This window comes from Homo sapiens, chromosome 2, assembly GCF_000001405.40.
Source record: "Homo sapiens chromosome 2, GRCh38.p14 Primary Assembly".
Lineage (NCBI taxonomy): Eukaryota > Metazoa > Chordata > Mammalia > Primates > Hominidae > Homo > Homo sapiens.
In genome coordinates, this window is record NC_000002.12 from 36,360,478 (window position 1) to 36,388,186 (window position 27,709).

General features: G+C 40.6%; 1 protein-coding gene and 1 long non-coding RNA gene across 14 annotated transcripts in view, besides 5 other annotated features; both read left to right on the forward strand.

The window, feature by feature from the left end:
• CRIM1 (cysteine rich transmembrane BMP regulator 1) overlaps positions 1-27,709 on the forward strand; it is a 195,358-nt gene that overhangs the window by 4,700 nt on the left and 162,949 nt on the right. The window contains exon 1 of one of the 13 annotated variants that reach the window (XM_024452948.2): positions 9,741-18,048. The exons of the other annotated variants lie outside the window; for them this stretch is intronic. The gene's annotated coding sequence lies outside the window, so the exon portion shown is untranslated. Of the gene's footprint in view, positions 1-9,740; positions 18,049-27,709 lie in introns of those variants that run through there. 13 annotated transcript variants of the gene reach the window in all.
• Positions 7,509-7,803: a silencer, noted in NCBI's record as "tiled region #8328; K562 Repressive non-DNase unmatched - State 24:Quies". NCBI's record gives its function as "represses a minimal TATA promoter and a strong SV40 promoter by Sharpr-MPRA in K562 cells {active_cell/tissue: K562}" and the evidence as "EXISTENCE:reporter gene assay evidence [ECO:0000049][PMID:27701403]".
• Positions 7,509-8,350: a biological region, named in NCBI's record as "Sharpr-MPRA regulatory region 8328".
• Positions 7,697-8,350: an enhancer, noted in NCBI's record as "H3K27ac hESC enhancer chr2:36595317-36595970 (GRCh37/hg19 assembly coordinates)". NCBI's record gives its function as "activates a minimal SCP1, AML or CMV promoter by ChIP-STARR-seq in naive H9 embryonic stem cells {active_cell/tissue: H9 hESC(naive)}" and the evidence as "EXISTENCE:reporter gene assay evidence [ECO:0000049][PMID:30033119]".
• Positions 9,741-18,753, forward strand: LOC124907753 (uncharacterized). The gene is made up of 2 exons (XR_007086281.1): positions 9,741-18,447; positions 18,666-18,753. It is a non-coding gene; the product is annotated as an uncharacterized LOC124907753 (long non-coding RNA).
• Positions 20,266-20,782: an enhancer, noted in NCBI's record as "H3K27ac-H3K4me1 hESC enhancer chr2:36607886-36608402 (GRCh37/hg19 assembly coordinates)". NCBI's record gives its function as "activates a minimal SCP1, AML or CMV promoter by ChIP-STARR-seq in naive H9 embryonic stem cells {active_cell/tissue: H9 hESC(naive)}" and the evidence as "EXISTENCE:reporter gene assay evidence [ECO:0000049][PMID:30033119]".
• Positions 21,814-22,328: an enhancer, noted in NCBI's record as "H3K27ac-H3K4me1 hESC enhancer chr2:36609434-36609948 (GRCh37/hg19 assembly coordinates)". NCBI's record gives its function as "activates a minimal SCP1, AML or CMV promoter by ChIP-STARR-seq in primed H9 embryonic stem cells {active_cell/tissue: H9 hESC(primed)}" and the evidence as "EXISTENCE:reporter gene assay evidence [ECO:0000049][PMID:30033119]".

The window sequence follows — 27,709 nt, forward strand, 5'->3', positions numbered from 1 at the left end:
TCCCCCAGGAATTTTAACTGTTCCTTTTACCCATTTTTCATTGGGCAGTGTGTAAGAGAACTATGTATACATAGTGGGGTACTTACAGCAAAAAACAGAATTTTGTTTCCTGAAACTTGCCATGCAAAGTTTCTTTGCTTATCCCTGGAAGACAGTCAGTGAAGATGATGGCTGCTTGGAAGAAAATGTATGCGGGATCTGCTCCAGAAAGCAGGCTGCAGGAGGCCAGATAATGAACCCAAACATTTCATTCTGCACAAGCCGCATGGAAACTACTCTCACCACTCTGTAGTAGGGCCTGAAGTTAAGAGTCCACGAATTTTAATTCACTCATTAAGTAACGGGAGGGGGGCAAAATATCAGCTTCTATAGTTAGAAAAATTAAGCTCTTGGCTTTGTTTTGGAATAATGGGTTTCATTTTTCCTCTCAGAAGTCCTTAGGTAGACAGGGAGCCCTTAGATCCCAGAGAGGAACAAGCAGAGGGCCTATAACATTATGTTAACAGGGAATGGGAAGAGAAACCAACGAAGTAAACAAGGAAATAATTAGTTCCTCCCAAAAGTAAATATTGGCAAAACATGGAGAGACCAACTATTCACTGCACTTAAATAAATGACAGGACTCAGTGACCTTCACTTTGATTGCCAGGCTTATAGAATCTTCCCTGTTATTGAGGAGTCCTGTCACATAAAACACTTGGCAAAGGGCAGATGGATTGTGTATTATCAGAATGGCAAAAATAGCAAGTCTGGAGATATTTGTTGCCATTCACACATATTGTACACTGACCAGGAAAATCTCCAAGCAAGAGGTTGGCAGTAGGGTTGTAAGCAGTCAGATTAATATATGAAGAAAACTGAACAGTCCTTAATCTGTGTAGGCATTACATCCATTTGTAGGAGGTATTTGGTGACTTGGTACAGGTTTCTTTGTTTTGTGTGGTTTGTTGAAGATGCAATGACCGGGATGAATGAGTGAACAGCTGGGTGAGGCAGGGGATGGGCATTATGAAGTTGGGGGATATATTGTAGATGAAACAGATGACCCTAAGGAGGTAATGAGGGGGTGGACTAAAGAATGACGAATGGGAGAAGGGAAAATATTGAATTCATCTTAGCACAAGTATATCATCCTTTGAAGAATAATCCAAAACACATTCCAGACATTAATTGTGAAATTCCTGAAAAATGTGGGTGTGCTTAACATCTCCCAGGCTATGGTGCAAGCAGAGATGATAGTGTTGCTTTAGCCTGTAAATACAAGAGGGTAGGAGGTGGTAAAATGAGTGGAAGGGAAATACATTTAGTGAAGCGGGTTCCTGTAACACTGTGTTCCGTATGGCACGTTTGGTATCAGGATTTTGGAGACACCCCAGTAAAGCTCATTTAATTATTTGAGGGAGAAACAGTAGACTAGCCAAGCATGCATGAATAACACATTGAAAGCTTTCCTTCTCAGAGGTCTAATTCTGCAAAGCTGCATTTTCAAAGATCTGACTTGCCTTTGCATGGAAATCAGTCATTCATTCATTGGTCTTCTATGCTGTACAAGGCCTTCTGCTGGGGTGAGGGGGAAACTAGGGAGCCCGGGGACCTCTCCAACATATTCTTTGCTCTGTACACTTAATCAAGATAAGAAATAAAGACAGCAAGACTGCAAAAAGTCTATTATGTAGACTTGCAAAAAGTCTACATAATAATATAAATTCAAGCCAAGTAGAAGTGATTTTGCAAGTCTGTGTATGATTAATTGGCTAGTGAAATATATGGATAAAATTAGTTGTAGGAATTAAAGCATCTGAAGTGATCTCTTGAGGCTCTGGTGGCAAAGCAGAAAGGGGAATTTGAATTTGAACTAGGTTTAAAAGTGTGAGTAGTAGCCCTTTCTTTTGGCAGGGGAGGTGATCCTACCCATTCTCCTTAGAGCCTGTGCAATTGGTCTCAGTGTTTCTCAACATCTAAGAATGAAGCTGCATTCTTAATGCTTTAGTAGCTGTGCTTCAAAACGGCAAGTTTCCTTTTGAGAGTGATTTTCTCTTTGTTCTAGCTTGTTTCACTAGGCGGATAAGCGTGGGCAGTAAACTGGGAGGTGTCCCTTTATCAGCACCTCTCAGCTTCACCCACCCTGCTGCTTGCCCTGGGCAGTAGCCTGGTCACATCTTTGAAAACCTCTGTTTAGTCAAGACTTCCTAAGTCAAGACAGAGGAATGGTTGAATATACCTCTATGTAAGAATACCCTCAAGGTAAACACTAAACTCTTACGTGTTTTATCTTGGGCCCACATGAAAAAAGTAAATGTTTTTAAAGAACCTATTTTCCTTTGTTAGTTGCAAAGTGAACAGGTATCAATTCCTTACCTCCCTCCTCCAGTCCCAGTTAATTCCCCACATGAAAATACCTACATGTTGGTGGAAAAGTGTAATGTTCAAGAACTTGGGGCCGGCCGTGGTGTCTCATGCCTGTAATCCCAGCACTTTGTGGGGCTGAGGCAGATGGATCGCCTGAGGTCAGGAGTTCAAGACTAGTCTGGCCAACATGGTGAAACCTTGTCTCTACTAAGAATACAAAAAAATTAGCCAGGCTTGGTGGCAGGCCCCTGTAATCCCAGCTACTAGGGAGGCTGAGGTGGGAGAATTGCTTGAACCCAGGAAGCAGAGGCTGCAGTGAGCTGAAATCGCACCACTGCACTCCAGCCTGGGCGACAAAGCAAGACCCTGTCTCAAAAAAAAAAAAAAAAAAAGAACTTGGTTTCTGGGGTCAAATCTGCACTCTGCTTCTGTGTGTCTCAGTTTTCTCATCTGTGTAGTCAGGTTAATGATAGGGTTGCTATAAGGACTCAGTGCATCCCTAATGAGCAGTTAAAAGAATGACTGGCACATGGAACATGCTTACTAACAAGGCTACTAACCAGTATAAGTGAAACAATTTTACTTGGGCTCAGTCTCTTGTTCTCTTAATCCCCATCTACCTCAGTCATTGATGGTAAGCAGTTAAGGAGGTTGGGCTCTTAGAAAGGGAGCAAATTGTTACTGAATTCAGCAGTCGTCGCCGCCCCCCCCCCCCATGACTATCTTTTTATACCTTGTCTAAATGATTTCTACAAAGTTTGTATATTTTGAGTAATGTTTTAGGTCTGATATTATTTTGCATTGATTTGTAGGAATTATAAATGTAACCATTTATCTGTGAACAAATAATTAAAAATACTTAATTTGGGGAGGAGGCGGGAACCTAGATGTGCTATAATCAGCAGTGTGCACTTTGCTTCACATTATCTTCTGGGAGGAAATTTTGCTCCTAGCTCCTGAGTGTGCACACTGATGACCACTGCAGGATTTGGCCTGGCTTGAGCAAAGAAACAGCTCGACGCCATGGGGGCTATGGTTCCAACCTGCTGCTGCAGTTGGTATAAACTAGGCAAAACCAGAAGTCAGAGGATTATCCATTCCTCTTGTTCTTTTTCTAGCTCTACCTGTTCTTCTGCCATTCTTCTGCCTGAAAATATTCATGAGCATCGCCTATGGGTCTTGTCTCTGTGCTTTACAGTAGTGACATCACTTGTGTAAGCCAGTTTTTCTGTTAGTCGTCGGTACCTCCTAGGTTCGCTGTGGGGGTTAAGTGAGATAAAACTGTGCTTCTGAAATTTTAGTGTGCACACAAATCACCTAGGTATTTAAAATTGCAAGTCTGATTAAGTTAGTCTGGGGTGATGCCTGTGATTCTACATTTCTAACAAATTTCTGGCTGATGCCAGTGTCACAGGTGCCAGGACCACACTTTTAAGTAGCACAAAGCTAGTACCTATGTATACAGCATGTATCACAGAGTATGCATATTAAAAGACCTGATAAATGTTACCTGCTATTATAGTCATTATTTTTCAGCCAAAATAAATAAGATATGGTCCTTGTTTTCACACAGGCCATGATCTGATGGTAAACTGGAAAAGCAGACAATTCATTACAATCAGTTCAGTAAGCCATGAGATAACGGAAATGCCAAGCATGTCAGGAGCAAGTAAGAGGGAGTCTAACCCAAATCTGACCACCAGGAAAAGTTTAGTGGAGGATGCAGCAACAAGAAAGACCTGAGGGTCTCCTCTCCTCCCTCCTTTTTTCCTGCACTTCTTGTGCAGGATGTTTTAGGAAAAAGAAAATAGGGCTTGGGGCTAGACAAACCTGCATTGAAATCTTAAATCTGTTATTTTTTTAATCGTGAGATCAGCTTGTTTAGTTTCTCTGAGCTTCAGTTCCCTCATCTGTGAAACTGGAATATTAATAGCTTTCTATTAAGTAAATATTGTAGTGAGGATTAGAGATTTATATATATGATTACATAGATGTATATATAAGATTGTGTGTGTGTGTGTATAGTATGTATGTGTATATGCTAGTTTCTGGTACCAAATAGATTTTTTAAAATAATATTAATTTTAATTTCCATTCTATTTTCTATCCTTTCCCATTTTCCTCTTTGTTAGCTTTCTCTGTAAGTTTAAAAATTTACCTTGTGGGCACACATTTCCTCCAAACTTAACTAAATCTCTTCAAAGGGGTGGGAGTTTCGAGGGGGAATTCAAATGTCAGATGTTTGTCAAAGAGAAAAGAACCGTGAAGTACCGAGAACAGGGGGCTGGGAATACAGGGTCTATGCACCAAGGAAACATGCGTTGGTTTGATCCAGTGCAACTACAGTTCCCAGCGCCTTTGGCATTTCAGCAGAATGTGAACACTTGCTTGATTTTGTGGTTTGAGCCCCTACATCCAAAGAGCTATTTCAAATTAATATTTATTTAAAAATGGCCTTTTAATATTAATGGCATATGGTTTTATGACAGTGAATTAAATTTCCTTTTATTGTTAGAACTTTTTGAGGATTTCTGGACATCACTGGAGACGTTGGAGACCCCAAGGATATAGCCAGGCCAGGTTGATATATCTCACTGAGGTTACAGAAGGAAGCAGCGGCAAGCCTAGCCGATTCAGAGACCACTGCGGGCTTGGGAATGAGCAGGAGAGGGTGTGAGGGCCAGAGGCCATCTGTGTTGCTTTTCTCTCTCCCAGTCATTCTAGCCATCTTTGATGTGGACTAATAGTCGAGGTTGGCCATGGGTTTGCACTGTCTCTAGGGAGTCTTTGTGATATAGTGCGGGGTAGGAAGAACACCTAGAATCAAAATATCTAATGTTACTAGCTGTTTAGTTCTTAGTGTGGGTATGGTCCCATTTTAGGAGAACAGAACTATGAACTATGTTTGTGTTTTTTTTTTTTTTTTGAGACAGAGTCTCACTCTGTTGCCAGGCTGAAGTGCAGTGGCATGATCTCAGCTCACTGCAACCTCTGACTCCCTGGTTCAAGCGATTCTCCTGCCTCAGCCTCCTGAGTAGCTGGGATTACAGGCATGTGCCACCACGCCCAACTACTTTGTGTATTTTTAGTGGAGACCACGTTTCACCATGTTGGCCAGGATGGTCTCTCGACCTCGTGATCTGCCCACCTTGGCCTCCCAAAGTGCTGGGATTACAGGCGTGAGCCACCGCGCCCAGCCCAGAACTACATTTGCTTAACTGTGACTCTTTCCTTTGTACCTGAAAATAAGTATCATTTTTATCCAGTAAATATTGGCTGATAATTCATAAGGCAGATGCTTTAAATTGGCTATTGTAGAACAAGGAGAAAGAACTTGATGAAGAGAAAAATCCTTGGAATCAGTGGTTTACAACTTTTTTTTTCCTTCCTGATGATCAAACCGTATTATCGCATAGTAGAAATTGGATTTTCTTCCAGAAACTACTTTAGTACCTCTCATTTGTAGCACTTCTATCAAGAGTGCTGGTATTCGGACATGTAACCTACAAACAAAATCAGAAAGATGTCAAAATAACACCCTAATTCAGACTATCCTGAGAACATTTGTCTTCTGAATATTTAAGAAAAAAAAATAAGTGTTAATTATATTGTAGGGTGTTACCATTTTGTATTTCAAGTTCCTGAGAAGAGAATTTGAACAGTTTGCTATTTGGAAATTTTAGCAACCAGCTACCTTGCCTATGGAAAGATTAAAAAAAAAAGGAGAGGGAGTAGATGGTGGTCCATAGGCTGTAACTGGAAACTATGCCTGTCTTATTTAGCATTTCAAAACAAAAACCATAAACAAACATCTCAGATTCAAAACAGAAAGGAATTTCTGGCAGGGCAGAATGAAACCTGAGACTGCAGAGTCCCAGTCTACAAGAGGTAACTTATTTAGCTTCTTATCCAAAGGCCACAGCAAAACGTTTCACAGCTGTGATTAAACAAAAGGCATCTTTTGTTGGAGAATTGTGATACTTCTTTTTAAGACTGCGAAAGACCTGCCAAAATAAGGCAAAGCTACCTTGAGGATGTTTGACCTGAACTAGACTTTATGAAGTAGTTGGACCACTTCAGGCCTTATGGTGTGAGGAGTGTGGGATGCATAGGCTTGGACCTTTCTGTGTGTGTGTTTATAAGTCTGTAGAGACAGAATATTCCATCATGTTATCAAATGCAGATCTCGAAAACCTTTTCTCACTTCCCATATTTGGGAGCTTTGCTTTTTTTGAAAAGTATGGGCTTTTACAGTCTGAGTGAGGAAAAGGGATGGATTTTAGACAGTTTTGTCTGTGGAAGTCAAAGTAGAAGGATTTTTAAACAGTTGGAGACAGAATGGGTATACTGTGTGCTTTTCAGAACCACTGAGTTCCTATATTTCAGGCAGATTTTAAGAAAACTTATTACCACTACCTATCACATCAAAATGAAAGACCAAATAAATTTCTGTGTTTTAATCAAGACTGTGACTGTATTTGTGTATATCCTAGCTTGTTTCAGAAAGGGTTTGAGGCTGCCCAGAAAGGTGAATATTACAGAATTCTTGTATGTGATAACATGATAAAGGAGAAAAAAACAGCCATGGCTTTTGAATCCCCCTTCATCTCTTAATAGCCCAGTGACTTAAATAAAACCCTTCAACTTCCCTTGGCATGACTTTGCCTTAATTTGTCAAAAGGGAATTAAATAGTTACCTACCTCAAGACAGGGGAACTGAATCAGATGATATCTTAAGGTTCTACTGGTCATAAGATCTATGCTTTTATGACCTAGAAGTGATAGACAGGAGTCGAATATTACCTTGTGTTTGCAGAGCCAGGGAAGGAAAAAGTGATAGTGTCTACATGACTGCCAGGTGCTGTAGACAGAAGGGCTTAGAGGAAAAGATCAAGAGTTCCTCCATGGTTATGTTTATCAAGCGGCAGTGGAGACAGTAAAGCGTAGTATTGGGAAGTTAGTGACAGCTTTTAAATGCCTGAAGTCTTTTAAATCATATTCACCGTGGCTGAGTCTGGATTCAGGGTAGAACTCAAACCTCTCTTATGTGTTTGCTGCCTTCCCTTTCTCCATTTTCTTATGTACTTCATTAATTATTAAGACTATGAGGTAGGTAGGTGACAGAGACTGCAAAGGGAGAAGCTAGAGCGAAGACAGGCCAAAACTTGCCCAAATTCACATGCTCATTTCTGCCTCTGACACTAGGAGAGAGTTGAGTAATTGCTCTTCTTCCTAATACTGCAGGCAGCAGCCAAATTCTCCACATTCTTTTACCTTTGCTGCTGTTTTCACTTGCCAGGGAGTTTCCTTAAGGAGCAGACTGAATTTAAAGAAACATAGCAGTAATAGTGCATGAAAGGGGGTGTGGGGTCGCTGGCCAAACGTGGCATGTTGGTGCCTCACGTTGGGAGGATGAAAGGATGATTCCTGCAGAGGGACATGCTGCACACTGCGCAAGCTCCCTCACCTCTGTGTACAGCTGAGCCACTGACCAGGAAGCTCTTTGCTTGTATGTGAGACAGCAAATATTCACTAAATATGTTTCAAGTACAAGCCAACTGCGAAGCTTGGAAAGTTGTCCAGAAACTTCACCCTTCCTTTGCATGTTGTCCAGCGGCAGGACGTTGAGCAAGGTTAGGTAGTATGAACCTGCGGCTCTAAAACTTAAAGTAATAGGCATTATTCGAAAGAAAATGATGCCCAGCACGGCTTCCAGTGTATATTAGCAATCAGCTTGTTTGCCTTGTGGTTATTACATTTTTTGCCAAGAGCAGCCTTCCAGAATGAGGTACTAGTTAATTCCCATTGGGCATTTATTCATTAATAAGTCTGCTGAATGTGAAATATTCCATTTGGGAGTATGTCATATGAGAAAACTCAGTGGCTAATTATTACATAGCTCTCTTCCATGATTCTCACTTTCAGCGCAGTTACCTAAGCCACCATTTCCTAGGTATGTAAACTTAGATAATTTTTAGTTTTCTGTAATACTTTTTGCTTTTTGCTCCAGAAAATTTTTTTTCACTCCAATCTGTGAAATTGTTAAAAGTTTACTAATAACTGGATAAACATTTTATGTTGTACTATGGCTTGCTCTTTCTTTCCATTTTAAAAAGATAATATCAAAAGTTAAATCCTGTTCCAGATCTTACCGTCTCTCTTCCAGGCTAGATTTCTGGGATGGGGTGGTGTTAATTTACTAACCTGAGCTTTTGCCCAATCTAGGGTCTCCTTTACTCTTTTCTGGTGTATAAATAGGTCTTTATTTGCTTTTCTTCCAGGTTGGTTGGTGCATATTAGCTTAAGAACTTTTAAACCTCTGCGGCAGTAATGAGAATCTGCATGCCAAGGGCCCAGCATTTCTCTACAAAGCAGCCCATGAGTGCATGTGTGTTTGCTGTAGTGAAGGGTCTATGTTAGAAGGTGAGTTAGAGACCCCACTTGCCCACATCTGTGTGCTGTGGTTTGGCCCTCCTCCTCTGGTGAATCCCTACCACAGCCCAGTGCCTGCTGGATCTCAAGTGTCCTGAAAGCCATTGGAAAGATGCTTTCCAGCAGTCTTAACATTTGCCTCCATGTTCTTTCCAGCAAGGATGAGTGCACACAGCTTTCCAGCTACTGGGCAACCCAGCCATTGACAGAAGGTGGTGCAAGAGTCAATTCCTCTGTGAGGATCCCTTCCAATAACAGTGTCTGCATTAACGACAAAAAGTTCTGTAAAAATGTTTGCAGGGGGAGCTTTTGACCTGCAAACATTTCTACAGAACTTTTTGCCATATAGGAACATATGAAATGTTATATGTAATATAGGTCAGAAATGTTGCCATATAGGAACATTCGAGAAGATGATAAATGTGAGGAAAGTGATAAAAGTTTATACAACAAGGATCTGTACAAGATTGTGGTAGATTTGCTGGCCTAAAAAGATGTACTCAGGGTAGTGAACTATTTCTGTAGCATCAGCCACTGGGCCCCTGAGTGGGAATACTCTTTGAGAGACAGGAAGCTAATTCCTTCTTTGAATGTGTAGTTAACTTTGTGCCATTGGATGTAGGGTGTGCACGTGCATGTGTATTTTTTCAGTTGCTGAGGGCACAACACAGACAAAGAATACCGTGCATTGTATTATGGATGTGCTGGAAACAACGCCCCAGCTTGAAGCAAGTTGACTGTAGTATCTACTCTGTAGATCAGCAAACTGAAAATGACTTCTTAATAAAAGGTCGCACATTGTTTTACTTACTGCATTTGAAAAAACAGTTCTAATTAAGATGCTTTGGGTTTTAAACTGCCTGTTAATTGGGATATCTATAAGTGGGCAAGTAGAGCTTCTGAATATTGCTGACTTATTTCTTAGTGATTGGGACAAAAGCTTTTTTTTTTTTTTTTTAAATAGTATGCCATCATTAAACAGTTTTTGACCTTACGCAGAAACTTTAAATGTGACAGCAGAAAGAAGCAGCAGAAATTTACAGTGAGAAATGGAAGACCTCTGTAGGTAAATAAGTAAAATGAAAGAAGCCAGAGGTGTTTTTTGTTGGCAGTAGATGAAATTATTTTCAAACACTGCCCTGGGAAAAGGTGAGCCCTCAGCAACCAAGTTTATTGACTGTCTATTCAGGAAATTGTATTAGTTGCTTTGGAAAGAGAAAGGAAAAAGAAAAGACTTTCTGCCAACTGAGGGCTGGAAAACTTGAGGGAGATAAAGTATTTACATGCTTTAATAACATAAAGCATGTCCAAAAGAAATACATAATTACAGCTATGTTTGGCACTGAAAATAATCCAGGTTATTATATTTTTAAAATTGTGTGTGAATATGTAAGTGAATGCCCTTGAGTCAGAAATGCTTGAGTGATAATATTTCTTGAGAGAATGGAAAAGTAGATGGTATTAGGAGCTAAAAAGAGAGAGAAGGGATAAAGGATGACCACTAGTTAAGAAGGAACAGTGAACTTTTTTTCTTTAGAGGGGACATATTTCATATGCATAGTTATTCCCCCTCTACTTCTAATCTTAGTATAATAAGCATTTAACTTCCCATAGGACCTTAGCAGTCTGCATGTTATTACTAAAAGCCCACAGGTAAGGGAAAATTAGACCCCTAAATTAAAGACCTGACCATCTTGCTCCTGAAGTTTTAGGTTTTCCAACTTTATTTCCAGTGTATCTTGGACAAAGACCCTTTGAGAGCTCAGAAAATTAGGAGATGTGGTCAACACATTCTTCTTAATATCTAGTGCAACCAAAGACTTGGCCAGCAACTAAGGCCAGCAACTGGAAAATGGGTGTGGTGTCAGGTTTCAGACGCCCCCATAGTTGTCTTCACGTCCTTTAATATGTGTTGGCATCCCTCAAGCCCTGCCAGTTTATGCTCTTTCCTTTGTGAAGCCTTCCTGCCCTGCCCAGGAAAAAGTAATGCCATCCCCCATCCCCCATCCCCCAGTGACCATAAATAGCACTTTCTCCTTCCCCTGTTATAGCACTTTTCATACTGTGTTAGAGTTCACATTTCTGTCTCTCTGCCTCATTGTGATCTATTTGAGTGCCAGGATTGTGTGTTATTCTAGCGCTTGGCACACAGGAAGAACTCAATGAGCATTTGTTGACTAAATCTAGACTCAAGGTCATCCAAGATATTATACAAAAACTTTTTCATCGAACCATTTGGTCTGCATTGTGGAAACTGAAACGAATGGCACTCCCCGTTAAGAGAATCCCAGTGAGAAGCCATAGCATTGCAGGAGGAAGCTCAAACTGGTTAACTTTGCTCATGCCGATCAGTCTTAGAATTTTTTGTAATGTTTCCATGATGAATTAGTTTCAGCTGTATTTTTTTGGCAAATATTTAAAGATAATTTTTATTTGTGTGGACTTTTCTTCTTGTCAGTTTGTCATAAAGGTGTCATCTTTCATTCACTAACCCCTTATCAGCTTATAGGAATTTTCCTCGTGGGTGGTTGCTTGTAACCTTCTCTTGACTGCCAGGGATCTGATATACTAAACGGTTGAGATACTGTGGTGATCAGCTGCTTGTAAACAATAACTGATAAATCGGTTATAAATTATCAACACACTTCAGATGACCATATCATCATGACTTGGTGATAGCAAAATAGACTTCTGAATTCTCAGCTAATCCAGGATTGTGTCTTAACAAACATTTATGTTGATTAATCAGGAGGGTGTTTAGTTTAAGAAACATGTACTGAATGTTCAATATGTGAGTGCCAAGTGCAGTGTGGTGCAACCTGTTTACTGCTTCAGGTGATCTCCAGATATCCTAAGGAATTTTTAACTGTACAGCTTCTTTGGGGAAGGAAATCCTAAGCCAACAACCTGAGGGTGGAAGTGTGTGACTGGGAATAATTAAAATGCCTCACAATGGTTCGAGCAGGAATTCCATAGGAATGCACTTTAAGGCATTTAGGAAAGCAAAATTCCGTTTGGATTTACTCCAAACCCTATGACTTCAGAGACAGGAATTTTTGATGATTAGTGGCTGGAGCCCCAACTTGTTATTTAGTAATTCCACATTCAGTGTGGAATTGTTTTTTCTGTAGCACTAGTTATAAGTTCTTTGTTTGTTTTTCTAAAGGTTTTAAGGAGGTTTACAAATTAAGATGGAATAAGACATTAGAAACTTAAGGATACATAGCAAATTAAAACCTTGATACATTTGGTGCTAAGCTTTTCAGCTGCTAAAGATAGAGAGTTTTGGCCAAGATAAAGTATATAGAGTCAAAGACACATGCAGAATTCTCCTGGATATAAGTTCAGGTACCTGTGCCATTTTATCACTTTAGTCAATGTGCCCATTTTCTTAGGGCAGGTTTAATTTTCTGCTGCGGCATGGCCCTTCAGCTTTCCCAAGTTTACGATGCTCATCTCATACCTGATGGAAATTGTTGATAATGTTAGTGTATGGTTGGTGGCTTTCCCAGTAGCCCACTTCAGATCCTTTTATTGGTCATCACCAGTTACAAAAGTTTTAGGAAAGGGAAGGAGAGAAGCTGGAACTGATGGCTAAGTAAAGTTATAGCTGTAGAGCTCTGGTTGTCCATAATGAACAGTGGCAATGAACAGTGAAGATTTAAGCAAGGTTATTTTTTGAGGGTCCACTGATGATTTTCCTATAACTCGTTAAAAATATTTTTAAAACTTTTATATGGCTTCATATAAAAAAAGCTTAAAAATCTGTTCCCAGACTTCCTAGGCAGGTATGTTTTCTTTTCAGTGTTGCCTTCTCTAAGACTTTATCAGCAGAAGGAGTATTTGAGCTGATGGCAAATGCTGCCAAAATGAGAAGTGTGTGTGTTTCTCAAAACTCATGATCCCACAGTTAAATCGAGGGTGTGGGTAAAGGACCCAGAACTGTTCTTGCTGATGGAATAGCACACTTTTCCTCAGACATTAGTAGAGTAAATGAATGGAGGCAGAGGATTGGGAAACACTCTTGAAGGAGGGAGTGCCCATCAGCCTGTAAGCCAAAGTAAACAGTTCTTGTAACTGAAAAATAGACTTCCTGGAAGGAGAGAACCAGAGAAGTGGGTGTGAAGTGCAACCAGCAAGTACCATTTTCAGTGATACAGACAGCTGGCTTAACCTGAGTCCTGACAAGAACCTCTCAGAGCTATTTGGGGAAATCAGTTGCTTGAACCAGCCTTTGACTGGCCTATCGTTCCTACAGCTGTACCCAAAGATGGCACTTGGGGAGAAAAGGTCACATTTGTTTGTGATAGAGAAAGCAAACCGATGGGGCATTTTGAGAGGTAGAAATGAAGTCATCATTTGCGGAGCCGGTGGACCAGCAGAATGGCCGTGGGAAGGTATCCCTGAACCTGTATGTGTGGAAATGCAGGCATTCTCTGTCAGTCTTTTGTCACAGTGAGAAAATGTCATTACAGTGGACAGCTATGCACACGTTGGAGATTATGTGATGTGTGCATGTGCATCCATGTGTACAACATACACCCATGCAAAAATTGCTCACAGGGTCATGTGCGTGTCCTGGTAGTCTGTTATGTCCATTCTTCTGTAATAGGAGTATGTTTTTCAAACTGAAGCTGTTAGGTTCTGTTAATTCCAACAGAACAAAAAAAAATCTGCCTCTGGCCATCATTCGTTAATTTACATAGATTAGATACATGTAGTCTGTCTCCTAAGTGGCTTACATAAAGCCGTGGGCGTCTTTTCCTGTGTCTCCTCTTCGGCAGTTCCTAAGGCACCTACCAGGTTTATAGTTGCTGATGTCCTACCCATACTATGTGTCAAGAAAGGTAGACTCAAAAAGGATTGATGCAGATATTCCTTAGAAGTTTTCATGCCCAAAGATTCTTGGACCTTAGTTGCATGAGGGAAGAGGCCTTGCCTCGTGAAAGGAGACCGAAGCCCCTTATTAAAGGGGTCACTCAGAAAAAGGTGTTATCTAAATTCCCTCTTTGTAGTTTTATTTCTTCAATGTATTCCCCATCACTAGCTGTGTGTGCTGGAGCCAAATGTTGGGCCCACTGCCATCTTTTAAAGAATGCTACTGTAAAGGGATAACTTTACTAGACAGTTTGGGAAATAGAAGAAACAATTATCTAAAATGCTCTTGTTCCAAACACAAAAACTAGCTTCATGTTTTTGTGTATAACCCTGCCTAGTCTTACTCTGTAGACATCCTTCCCCCCACACCCATCGTGTATGTTTTTTATCCCCATCTAACATTATATCAAATACATTGTCCTATGTTGCTACCTTGTCTTCATTATTATGATTTGTCAAGCAATTGGGTTGTACTGACTGCAGTGTTACTCCTCATTTCCTTTCCCCCTTTCTTTTCCATACTACTTAAAAAGCAAGAAAGGAAAAAAAATTCTATTTAAGAGAAAATCCTATGTAGTCGTAATGGAATTTATTTTCCTGAGTGCCTGGGCGTGCTCCAAACAGATAGCTGTGATTGTGTCATCTCTTCTTACTAAGCATCTGACCACTCACTACCTGTGCATCTGATCCCTAGGCTCATGGCATGAGGGCTGTGGCTCTTGATGTTTTTTTTTTTGATGTGCTTAGTATCACCAGAACTGTATTGACTCTAAGAGTATGGAAGCTTTGTAAAGTTAACTAACGATTTGTAGGTTTTGTGCAAATAGCCAGCTCTCCAGGTAGAGACATTTTAATTCTGTTGCTTTTTTTTTTTGTAGCATATTATTATATTGCAGATGTTTACTTAGTATGAAAAATGGATATAATTAAGTTCTAAATGGGTACTAGATATTAACTTCAAAATGAATTTGCAACTTGTATGCTTTGCATATGCCGTATGCTTTGCATATGCCATATGCTGTTGTTTCCAAGGATGTAAAGCAGTTTTCCACTTCCACCATCTTATAAATTAAAACCAGAGGGCTAGACGTTATCCAGCAAGGGACCTACAAAATTCGAAAAAAAACTTCGGATCATTATCAGGATTAAGTTTGTTGAAATTGTATCAGGAAAATAGACTTTTCCTTGTATTATTATTGACTCATATAATGCAACTCATACTGGTTTCATATTCAGAAGGTATATAGCACCTGTTGTAATATTTCAGGTTGATTTCTGCAATCTTTATTTAAAAATACAAATCCGCAAAGCAAATTGCATAAACGGTATACAAAATGAAATCACCAGGCTTCAAATATATTTTATGTAAATGTTAAGTGCTCTTTAGATTAGCAAAAGGAAGACAAACATTTTGATTACCTCTTTAATACTAAATTTTTGTTTCTGAATTATAAATCTTTGAAGATATAATTAGTGTAAGATATATACCAATCAACATAGTCCAGAAAACCCTGAACCTGGCTGCTTATTAGTTGGAAAGAGTACCTATTTAGACTTTCTAAGCCACAGTATGTGGCTAAGTGATTAATATGCACTATTACACTTTCACAAATACTTTTTGGACCAACATATTGACTTAAGGGAGCATACTTTGTACTAAAAAACTAATTTGAAGGTGAAATCACAGCAAATTTAACAGTTCAACCTTGTGTATTTGTAGAGTTTTAGTTGGATCATAGGATAATGACATTAGCTAAAGTCAGCAAGCATGTAAAATAAACATTTTGAAGTTTAATAGTCATTTATGTTCTACAATAATAAATATTTGGCACCCACCATAACCACCACTACCAAAATATGTATGCTGAAATTGTGTCTCCAGGATGAATAAAGAGGTGTAAGGCAAGCTGACACCCATTAGAAAAAAAGGTTTAGAAAGGGAGAGAGGGCCTGGACTTCCCTAAGCTTAACCCCAACATAGGGCCTGTAGCTCCTGTTGGAACCAATTTATAAAACTTCAAGGTGGGAATCAATAGATTGTTTCCAGTGTTATATAGTTCCTCTTTAATCAGTTGATCTTCAACCAAAGCTTCAAGTGGTTTTTGTTTTTATTTATTGCCAAAAGCTTCTTAACCAATGTGATTATAAATGTTTAAATTCATTTACAGTGAAATGGATTTGTATCTTCCTTGCTCTACAGTAGATAGTGAAGCCTCCGTGACCTGTGTAAGCTGCAGGTTGAGGAGAATGTTTAAACAGTAGGCGAGCGTTCATACAGTGTCCCTGGACTGCATTTCCTTGCTTACAGAGCCTTGGAGCTGGGCCAACTCGCATGAGCGGGAGGAGGAGAGGCTCAGTTTTGAGAGCCCTGGGTTTATTTCTGGCTGTGGGGATACGAGAATGTGGGAGAAGGTGTAAACATAGTTTGAGGGAGGTCGTAGACTTGGAGGTTCTTGCCAGGGGTAAATGCTGGCTGGATTTGTTTATGGATGGATTTGATTATAGCTGCTTCACGCTTTTACCTCTGGAGTTGGTGCTTCCAAGGGGTGATGCTCATTGTCTGGATCTCCTTTAGTGGGCATCTCAGAATTCTTTGCTGCACCAACCACAGCATTTCTTTTCCCTTTCTTTTGGTATTTGTATTCAAATGCCTGACTTCCTGACCTGCTGTGAGGGTTTTTAAAAATAATGAACACCAAGCTTCTTGGGAAAAGACAGGTATGTAAATACTGCAAGCTTATAGCATTTGGGGGATGGAGTTGTGGGATTTTGGAGTTTGTGACCCCCATGTGTCTGTGTATCACTCTCTCTAATGTAGAGAGACAGAGCAGCAGTTCCTGAGCTCTGTCTTTTGTCTCTTCATGGGTTGGTCACTGATTTCCCCTTTCAGGGTCTGAATCCCTTTCCCTTGCCTCCCCCCATGTGGGTTCCGGAAGGCCCACATCCAACAGCTGCCCTTGGTCAACCCCCAGCCCTGCACACAGGTGTTTTCTGCTGTTCAGAGCTCAGGGGCGCTGTCCAGCCAGCTGATGACAGCTCACTGGTGGCGCTGGTCTCACTCCAGTGCTGGCTCTGCCCTCTTGGCCCTGTTGCTTCCTCCTTGGAGGATTAGTCACCCCAGTCTTGGGGCATTTTACCCACCTGTATGACTAGCACACATTGCATCCACTTGCCAAGGAGTGTTAGGGATACAGTCTCAAGAAAACCTGCCCAGTAGAAATGACTTCCTCTGGAGAAATTTAGATGATAAATTCCATAGGGAGAAATCATGTTTTATTAATGAGAAACAAAATCGTGCACTAGTGGGAGTTCAGGCTCAGAAGCCAGTGCATAGTCCAGCCTGGCGACCTGGCATGGTGTGTTACCCTGGCCAAAGCTCCCCAACCTCTGTTCATGATTTCCCTCTGTAAAATGGGAATAACAATAGTATCCATTTCTTTTGGGTGGTTATAAGGAATACTTAAGTTAACTCATTCATGTAAAGCACTTGAATAGTGGCTTGTATACAGTAAGCACACAGTAAATGTACATTGTCATTGTATCTTTGTACCTCAACATCTGAAACTATGGTTTATACATAGCACATACTCATTCATGCTTTGTTGAGTAAATGTAATATTCAGAAGGTGGGAAAGTGATTTCCTTCTCTCTTATCATAAAATAAGAGTTATATTTGGTTGAAATAAGGCATCATAGGCCTGAAGACATTTACTCCCTGGCTGCTGGCAGGGGAGTAGAATGTTCCAAACTCTATGTTGATAACTGGGTGCCTATGATTTGTTAATCATACCTAACAAACTCAGTCTGTCAGGTGTTTCAGTAAAATTTACTGACTCCCAAGGTAATTTTGAAAGGACAAAGCCATCAGGTGATTTGTTTTCAATAAGCATTATTGGGATATTTCAGACTCCAACATGTGCAGTGGAGATATTAACGAGACTTTACCCTTTCTAAACTTAGGGGCTTACTCTGCATTGTAACGTATGTTTGCTTTTAAGGCGATAGATGGGTAGATAGATGCTCTGTAATTGAATAGCCTACTGGGCTTCTGTGTAGCACAGCACTGTGTAAGTCGCAGGTGTTCAGTAAATGTATTTTAAATCAATGAGTAATTGATGGGATATTTTTCTTCACATTACATCACATTGAAGATGCTTGTGAGGAAGTTTTGTTCATGATTGTCCTCCTAGGCAGGCGCCACCTAACATGTTTCTCTCTAGCTGCGGGGTATTGAATTTGAGGCTGCTCTCAGCATTACTGCTCATCTCAAAGAGGAACAAATGGTCCCCCAAATGGTCCAGATGCAACAGTAGGGAAAGGAGTGCCACCATTCATTCTGAGGTGCCTGGGCCATACTCTGGATGAAGCTCACAGCTCTAACGTAAGGCGGTAAGTCATTTTTTTTTTAAACTTAAGGAAGTTAATTTGAAAGTTTATGCTGATGCCATTTCATATGACAGAGACTAAAGGGTATACGTCCTTGTGTTCTCTTGGTGGGGACTGCTGTCCTAAAGGTAAAAGATTTTGATCCAGAGGTTGGATTGTTCCTCGTGTGGCAACAGTCCTCTGACCTCAGTCATTTTCAAAGTCTAATGTCTTTTTGGCTAACAAAAGACATCAAGCTAGAGATTAAAATTTGCAGAAGATGGGAGTTTTTTTGTTGTTTTCGGTTTTTTTTTTTTTTTTTTTTGAGACGGAGTCTCACTCTGTCACCCAGGCTGGAGTGCAGGTGATCATATCTACAAAGGTGACAAGAACATGAACCTGCAGTCCTGTTATCAGCATTTTGTAAGTGCTTCTTCTCATTCTAAAAATATGTATTGATTTTAAAAATGAATTCTGTAACAGGATAGCAACAGTAGTAAAAATCCTTTTTATGGAGAAATTTAGAGCTTTCAGCTAACATACACACATACTCATTCAAATGAAACAGCTTGTCTTGTTTTAAAGAAATATTTCTGTTGTCCATTGTACAAATTTTAATAACTTGTCTTTCCTTTTTTTAGGTCTCTGTGTTCCAGATTTTTTTTTGTAACTATGAAATCCTTGCCTTGTAGTCAACTTAAAATGAAATAAATTTATCAGTGCAAATGAGTACACTGTGGTTCTTGTGTGGCAAAATTATGCAGGTGGTTTGAAGGATTCATTGTTTTATTAAAAGACTAGAAGAATGTACAAATGCTTTCCTTCTTTCTCATGTTTCTCTCACCCAAACTGAAGTGGTCCATTTAAAATCTGATCTTCATAAAAGGAAGAGTTGTCACAGGACATCTGATTTATGAGCCATCTGATTTGCTTCTGCTGTAGTTCCACACTCTGCTGGGGTACAAAAATCAGGCACTTTTATTTCAGCCCTGACAACAGTGCGGCCTTCCCAAAGTATGAGAAGAGCAGCGTGCAGAGGTAATGTGCAGTCTTCCGAACAGAGCACTGAACTGGTTTTTAATGAAGGGTAATATGTACTTGGGGTCCAAACTCTAGTTAATTCCGGAAAACATATCCTCTCACTAGTGTTGGGTCTTAGTAAATGAGTGTTCTGTGTTGAATCCTTGCTTGAGAGGAAGGAGGTCATAATTGGTCAGGGATTCTATTTCTTTCTTTCTCTCTTTTTTTTTTTTTTTTTTTTTTAAAGAAAAGCAATTGCTTAGAATGAGATGAATCTATATCAGGGTATGTTTTTGTAGGATCATATTAATCATCTTACCCACAGACTGACTTTGTGGTCAAACTTTACTCATAAGGATTTATTAAAAGCAATGGTTTGGTTAAAAAAAAAAAAAAAAGGTATGTTTATGGGAGGAATGTAGACATTTAGTTGAAGTACAGTTGATAGACTTTGACCACTCAGGGATATTTTCTCCATGGACTGTCTTACAGAGGCAGAGCCTAACTGCATATGCTTCTTATGACTCTGATGCATGAATGGCAGCCCTAAATGGGCTCCTCTTCACTTATTCCTTCTCCCCAATCTCCCCAGCACTGTGTTCTGTTTCCTTCCCTGCAAGAGTCTGCGTTTATCAGTCAGGTACTCCTGTCCTCAGAGTGCCAGGCCAGCTCTGCATCCTTCTCCACAAGACCAGGCTGAAGTCTGCCTGTTCACCTGTTGATGCTACACAGTTTGAGCTCAAGCTCCTTATTCTTTGCCGGCTTCCCTTTTTTGAGTTCCAGTGGAGTGGTACTCTTGTGTCAGAGGGATTCAGCACTGCCCACTATGTCATGGTACTCTGCGCTGCTCCTCTTGGGTCTGGATGGGGCCACAGTTGTCCAGTCCCATCATGCTGCAGCCCTAAGCTCCAGAGGGTGACCTTGATAGGATGCACATCCTGGAGCTTAATTTCATAAGCCTTGGGGGCCTGCAAGCAGGAGGAGTTGGAAGCCCTTGAGAGGCCAGATCCTGTGGGTTTGAGCGCAGAGTCTACAGAGTTAAAACCTGCAGAACAAAGAAATCAAAAGAAGGACATAAAGAAAGTTTGGGAGACATTGAGTCTGCAAAGCAAAGAAATCCAGTATTGCAAGGGGAAGATTTTGCTTTGGGAGGTTGAAGTTTTGTTTGCCCTCCGAATGAAAGTGGTATTTCTGTTCGTTAGCCAAAAAATCATCAGACTTTGAAAATCAGTGAGGTCAGAGGACTGTTGCCACACCAGGAATCAGAATTGTGGCATTGGAAGTTTCTTCAGAAAAGCACCTTTAGGCCCGCCCAACTTTACAGATTAAGGAAGTGAGACCCATAAAAGTTTGTCATGTTCTCTTATTTTAAAAGATATCTCGACCATGTCTGCAGTTATGGCCTCTTTTTCCTGCCTCACCCAAAGGGGTCGAGGAGCTTTCTCTTGCCCACTCTGGAGAGAACTCCTGGGGCCCCCCCGCTGCTCTCCCTGCCCCATGACTTTGTCCCAGAATACAGAACACAGTGGGCTGGATCAGCCTCTGCTGAACTTTTCCCTGCCAGCCTCCCTGCCCGCCTTCTTGCCCCCGCCCCTACCCCCCACACAGGAATCTAGAGCCCTCCCAGTGGTGGTGTGAAGCCTCTGGAATGTGGCACTCTGACCCCTGGCAGTTGAGTGTCCTGGATGGACCTGGCCTGGGAAACAGGAAGGACTCGGGGGAGGGGGAAGGAGTGCCCCATGGCCTTGAGGTGGGATGGAGGGAAAGGAAATGCTGCCCAGCGCGGCCCCACAGGCAGCTCCCGCTAGACTCCCACACTGGGGGCGGGGCTGGCAGGGCAGGGAGCCGGCAGGTTTCCTCAGACCAGGCCTGTGGCCCCGGGGCCTCTGGCAGAGCCAGGCTCAGGAAGGTGAACTGCCAGAGCAGTTGGGGTGAGGAGGAAAGGATGTGAGGGGAAGGAGGAGGAGCAGGCCAGAATGCAGAAGCAATTGTAGTAGGAGAGGACAAAGGTGATGGATGAGAAAAGGAATGTCCAGTGACTGTGTGGACTAGACACACTTCTCACTTTAGAAACCAAGTATATTAGAAAGCGGAAAAGACCCTCCTAAAGAAACTTCCAGCCAGGTGCAGTGGCTCGTGCCTGTAATCCCAGCTACTCAGGAGGCTGAGGCAGGAGAATTGCCTGAACCGGGGAGGCAGAGGTTGCAGTGAGCCGAGATTACGCTACTGTACTCCAGCCTGTATGATAGAGTGAGACTTCGTCTCAAAAAAAACCTTCCATGCCATTTTTATTTTAGAGTAAAGCACACCCCATTTGGATACCCCAGTGCTTTTTAACATGCTCAGCCTTGGCAAAGATAGGGTCACTGGGGTTAGTGAAAGGGGTGGGTGCACATGCAAGTGTGAGGCCAACTGTTACTCACCTGTCCCTTTCTGTTTTCTTTCATTGGTGGACCCACCTGGACCACACTTGGGTCTGTTACCTCCCTCAAAGAGGTTTCCAGAAAAACCTGAGGACGTGCCTCAGGGTGATGATATGCCCAGCAGCTCTTTGCTCCTCTCCGGGATTAGGGAACCTTGTATCCTCAACTTCCTCCTAATTAAAGCCTTTGGCAGAATCAGGATGCAGAACCAGGGCCTGGAACCGCCTCAGTAAACCCCTGTGGAACCACTAGCAGATCATGCTGTTTCCAAACTGCGCGTGTTGGCAAGCCAGCTTTTCACTGGGGATGTTTAAAATTAAATTCCATGCTCTTGGGAAAGGAATAGAAACTATAGGCAGAGTCTGTTTCTGAAACACCTGTTTTAAGTGGAAAGCGATCCTAACTGCTGCCATACCTGAAGGGCTTGTGTTTCCTGTGCAGCTGGAATCTCTCTGTGCTGAGTAAATTAACTTCTGTGCCCAGGGTAGTCTTGAATGATAATTAGTGCTCCGTGGCCATGCCACACATCCTGTCTGAAGCAAGGGTGCTAATAATGTCCTTTCCTCTCTTCTCACAAGACATTATATGAAGTCCTAGGAATAGTGGTCCTGGTGCTAAATAGAAATGTCGTGGTTATGGCACTAATTTATTGGGCCTGCCAGCCCAGGTGTGCAGCATCCCTTTCCTCCACCCGATTGATAAGACACCAGGTGAGGTCCAGTGTGATGCTCCAGGCAGTGCTGCAGCTGAGTTGGCCTGTGTCTCCTGGCTCAAGGGGTGCATCTTCTGGTCTGCCTTGAGAACTTACCAGTCTTCCATAAATTGGAAGTTCAAAGCAATGGAATGAACAATGGAGAGAACAAGCACATACACATAAGTTAAAAGCTGTGCATCTCTGTATATTCTAATCCTTTGAAACTTGGTGATCATTATTGTTCATTACATAGGATATGGATTTGATCAGAGCATCCTTTGGGAGTTGTCTGCATTTGGTATTTCCTTTTATATCCTGAAAGCTGTTAGTTCTTGAAAGGTGTATTGAACCTAATAAAATAGTAATTAGAGGTATTTCCACAAATTGTGAGCTTTGTCATTTGGATAGTGTTTTTGAGACTTCTTTTCCACTCTAAATACCAACTTTAAATAGAATAATATGACAGAATTATGATCTTGAAAAATTTATCTACTTAACTGCATGTGGGAATACATATTTCTGTAGCATGTGGAAAAAGGACTGAGTGATGCATACCTGTTATATTTACATTTTCTTTTGGAAGCAAATTATTTTCTACATGTGTATGTTTATGCCTACATGTGTTCTAATTTGAAATGTAAAAATCTATAAAAAATTTTTCCTTGACTGCTATGTTTTAAAATATCTGAAAGTTACCTGCTTCCTAGTCCTTGGAAGGCCTGAATTATTATAAAGTTTATTTCTTTGCATCTCAATCATTCCCAAAAGATTTTAAATATGAATGCATAAGTAGTGAATAAACAAACCTGAAAGTTTGATACCTACAGAACATTTTTAAAGCTGCTTCTTTTTTTCCATGCAGTATTGTTAGTAGAGTATAATACTAGTTATGTCGTAGAGCAGTCACTTACTCATTTATTTACTTCAGCAAGTGGATATTGGGGCCTGCTGTGTGTTCAGCACAGAGTGAGTATAGAAATGAGGGAAGCAGTTTCTGCTCTCAAGAAGCTCAGCAATGCCTTAGGATAAGGGAAGTGCTGGGGGCGGGTGTGCTGGAAAGAGAGAGGGATGGGTGGAAGAAAATTGAAAATCAGACTTCTTTGAAGAAAAGATACTTAAGCTGGGCACACTATGGTAGTAGCAGCTTTCTAGGTAGACCGGAGGAAAAAAAAGTGTTCCTAAGCAGAGAAATGGGATCCGTAAAGGCCCATTGGAGTGAACATGCATAGTATACTCAGGGAATCAGTTGATTGAGTAAATATTTATGGAGGCCCTACTATGTGCTGAGCCCTGTTCCAGGTGCAGAAGATACAGCAGTGAACGAGACAAAAATTCTTACCAACTGGAGCTTTCTGATAGACAGAATCAGCCAAATTAGTAAGGAAAACATACAGCATACAAGAGGAGAGAAGTGCTACGGAGAAAAATAAAGCTGAGAAAGGGGACAGAGACAACCACAGTGGTATCTGGTTTGCAGTTTTAATGGTCTGCCAAAGTCTTGCCAGAAGTTGAGGTTGATTGAAGACCTGAAGGTGTGCTGGAGTGAACCATGCACACACCTGGAGTAGGATGTTCCAGACAGAGGGAACACAAGTGCCAAAGCCTTGAGGCTGCAGTAGCCGGGGAAGGGAAGAGCAGCTGTCTGCACAGTGGGAGGTAACTGGACGGTCAGCTAGGGCTAGGCACAGGCCTCATTTATCAGTGTGAGGGGTCAGACTTGACCCTGTGGTCAGGAGAGTGCCATCATAGATTTATAGATACGGCTTGTGCTGTCATCTCTGGGACCCCCAAAGTGAGGACCCAGTGAGTTGGAGCTGAGTGTCTGTTAGGTATAGAGGTAAGATACTACACAAAGGAAACTCAGTTTTGTGAAAAACGTGTAAATATGTTTTTCAAACATGTTCTTAAGACTTTTTAATCTTTCTATGTTCTTGTTGTCTGGTTTATTTCCCATGAATGTTAGGGATCAGATCACTGCTGTGTAAATAATAGTCCACCCAAGGTATTCATATGCATTTCTTGACATGGCCTAAGGCAAGAGTCCTGCTTTCCATTGTCCCCTAATTTATATTTGCTTCTTTCTGGAGAGTTTTAAAATGAATTTCAAGGGCTTGATGCCTTTAAAATCAGTGGATCAGGCCCTGTGTTGCGAGATTTCTTAATGGGCCACAGTTGTCTCTGTGATTCTCATTTCCAGTTTATAGCACTACTGTCCACCTAAACATACACTAACCATGTGGATCTTAATGATGTTTTAAGAAAAAAGGTTTTGACATACATGCCAGACTTCCACTTAAGATGAAACTGGGCAACTAGGAAATGGTATGCCGTACATATGAAGCACTGTTTATTGAATATTGGTGGCAAATTTTGTTTTGTTGCTAGGACCAGATTCTTGGAGTGTGTAGTAGGAATAAATAAGACCAAACACAATCTTGCTTCACTGAAAAAAAAAAAAAAATCAAAGGTTTGGGTTTTTAGGCAAGATATTTAGGGAAGATATTTCTTTGTAGACCAGTATTAGAGTTAATGGCAAGGATCAGTAGTATAATCGTTGGAATTTATGTCACTCTTTCATTTATCTTCCACTTGGTTTATTTTGAAGACTTCAGATAAATTATTAAGGTAAAGTGCATAGGAGTGCTGAAGTTGATTTGTAAAAGCATTCCTTGCAAAAATGATTGCTAGCTGATTTCACAAAGTTGTTATCCTGAAAAGATTCCTTATTGCAACTTCCAGATCATTACACCTTTTAAAAACTATTATTTGCTTTTCAGGAGTATTGCTGTATATGAAGGTCTTAGCAAAGAACCTCTCGTTTTCCTCGATGATAGATTAGTTGAGATCATGTTTATATTGGTGGGTTTTCAGTTCTGATGGCTCTGCAGCTCTGTTCCTTGGCTGCAAGGTGTCATAGAGGGGCCTCTGCTTGTCCTGGTGGTTAAAGGACCATCAGCAGGAGTCTCCAGGCCGTATTACTGGAGACGGACCTCACCAGAGTGAGATGGGAGAATTAGTGGTGTTCCTGTCCTTCTTTTCCCTGATGCTCAGGTCTTCCGGATTGACATTAACTTGAAATTTTGCCCAGCCTTTGACTACCTCACTTTCCTGTTTCTTCAGCTCCTCATGTCCCCTGCTGGGTGACAGCCTATATGGGATTTAGACCTAGGTTGCTCAGCTTCCCTCCTCAGTAAAACTGATGAATCCATGGAGAGTGCTTATTCCAGTGTCTGGCACATAGAAAGTGCTCAGTGAGTGTTAGCTGTTATCAGAAGATTAGTCTCAGGGGGTGAAATGTGCTTTATTATCTGTGCTACCTCTTCACCTAGTATAATGAAAAATGTATATCCTTCACAGTGCTTATTTTCAGAGCACCATGTGTATTTAATTGTTAGAAGGTCTAGTCACATTTCTTTTCACTCTAGTGGTTCACACTTTTGGATGTGTGCAATTCCCATACCTAGTCTTCTGGTTTACTCTTGGTGATTTGACTAACAGATTTTAGGTTAGAGCATCCATTAATATTTATAAAATGGTACTGTGCATTATTCATGTCCTCAAGTCACATTCTGGCAAGAAGCATTAACGTGTGTCACATTATCTAATTATTGTCATAATACACAGAAGTGGCAGGAAGGGAGATTAAAAGTTTATTATTTAAGTTATTATTTATTTATCTAACATGGTTGAGGCATATTATATTCATTCACTCTTTTGACATGTCATAAATATTGATTTGTGGAAGTGTTGCTTGATACAGTATTGAGGTTAAAATAAAACTTGCGCTAATATTAATATTTCACAAGTAGGAAGACTGAGATCCAAAGATGTTTCTCTGTTATTTCTAAATAATTGACTTTCTTCCTCTACCAACAAACTTACTTTCCAGAAAAAGTTTGCTGCTCAAAGATTCACATTGCTTTGATTAAATTCATGTGCTCGTCCTCTCTATCCCTATTTATTCCTTCTGCAGGTATTTATTTTGCTAAGCTACTATTTGCTAAGCCCTATGATAGTTCAGTGATGAAGAGTAAAAAGTAGATCGTTAGTTTCAAAGAACCCACTTCGGGTAAAGGAGATTAGATGAACAATTTCATTGTGCTGCTGTAAGTGAAGTAATTTTAATAGATATGCAGTAGAAGTCCTACACTGGAAATAGTACTTAATTCAGTCCCTATAGAGTGGGGAAACCTAAAGGAAGTATTAACCACTGAGGAGAAGTTTCCAGTGCAGATGAAGAGAAGTAGCTTTCTAGGCAGAGAGAACAGCCATGAATGTCATGAAACAACATGGGACATTCAGGCAATTCATAGTCACTAAGTCTTACTGGAGGAAGAGGAAGGCATGGCAGAGATGAGGTTGAAGAAGTTTGCTGGGATCAAGTCTAAACTGGCTTTGTGTTATTCCATGCCGGGTACTCAAATGACTGCATGTTGGACTTCATTTTGTAGACCATTGCTTTGCAACTCCATATCCTTAAGAAGTTTGGTTAGGCTGTTCTCTTAACACTCCTTGCTGGGTGTTACTTACATTAAAGCACCTCTGTAGGAGGATAAAACACTGTGAACCAGGTATGTAAGAGACAGCTAATGACCTGGCTTAATCCAAGGATGTCTTTTTAGAGTATCCTGATGAAGAGATCAAATAGGAAATAATTAGACATTTCTCCAAAATACTTTTTTCCTCAACCAAGATTTATTAATTTTTAAGTAAGAGTATGTTTGATAACTGAAAATTGATATCCTTTGAAGCTGGATAAACATGCAGTTACATTTTTTACTGGACATTCAAGTTCAGAGACAGCTGCGTTGCTTAATCATGGCATGTGTCTGAATAGAAGGCTGATCTAGCACAGCACAAACATGGAACAGGGGAGAAGACCTGAGATTTTCCTTGGAAACTATTGGATTTTACTCTCAAAGCAGAGGGAATATAAGAGAGTTAAGGTCTGTGCCACAAAGTGCAGCTAGGAAAACATGTAAATGGGCATTAAATACCTACCTTGGTGATTTAAAAAATTTCGGAAATGGAGCCATTCAGTGTCTAACTTTGAGTAACTTCCTGGTAAAACCTCAAAAGAGAAAGTGATTGAAAAAATAGACATCAGAGTATCTGGATGAGTTAACATGCTGTGTGAGACTACTCATTAAAAGCCATTTATAAGATGTCTTAATAATCTTTCTCAAGAACCAGTTTTTTAATTTTGTTAACTGTTTTTGTTGCTTTTACTTTCTCCATAGATTTATTATTTCCATCCTCCTTGATTCTTTGGACTTACTCTGTTGCTCTTTTTTCAAGTTGGATGCTTAGTTCATTCTTTTTTTTTTTTTCAGCTTGTCTTATGCCCTGTGAAATTTCCCTTTAAACACTGTCTTAACTGTGTCCCCATCAATGTTGACATATGGTACTTCCACTGTTCTTCATTTTTAAGTATTTGGTAAGTTCCCTATAAACCCCTCACATTAAAAAATCTTTTTATTATAGAAACTTCCAAATATATACAGAAGTAGAGACAGTTGTGTAATGACAGAGTGCTTCAGCAGTTGTC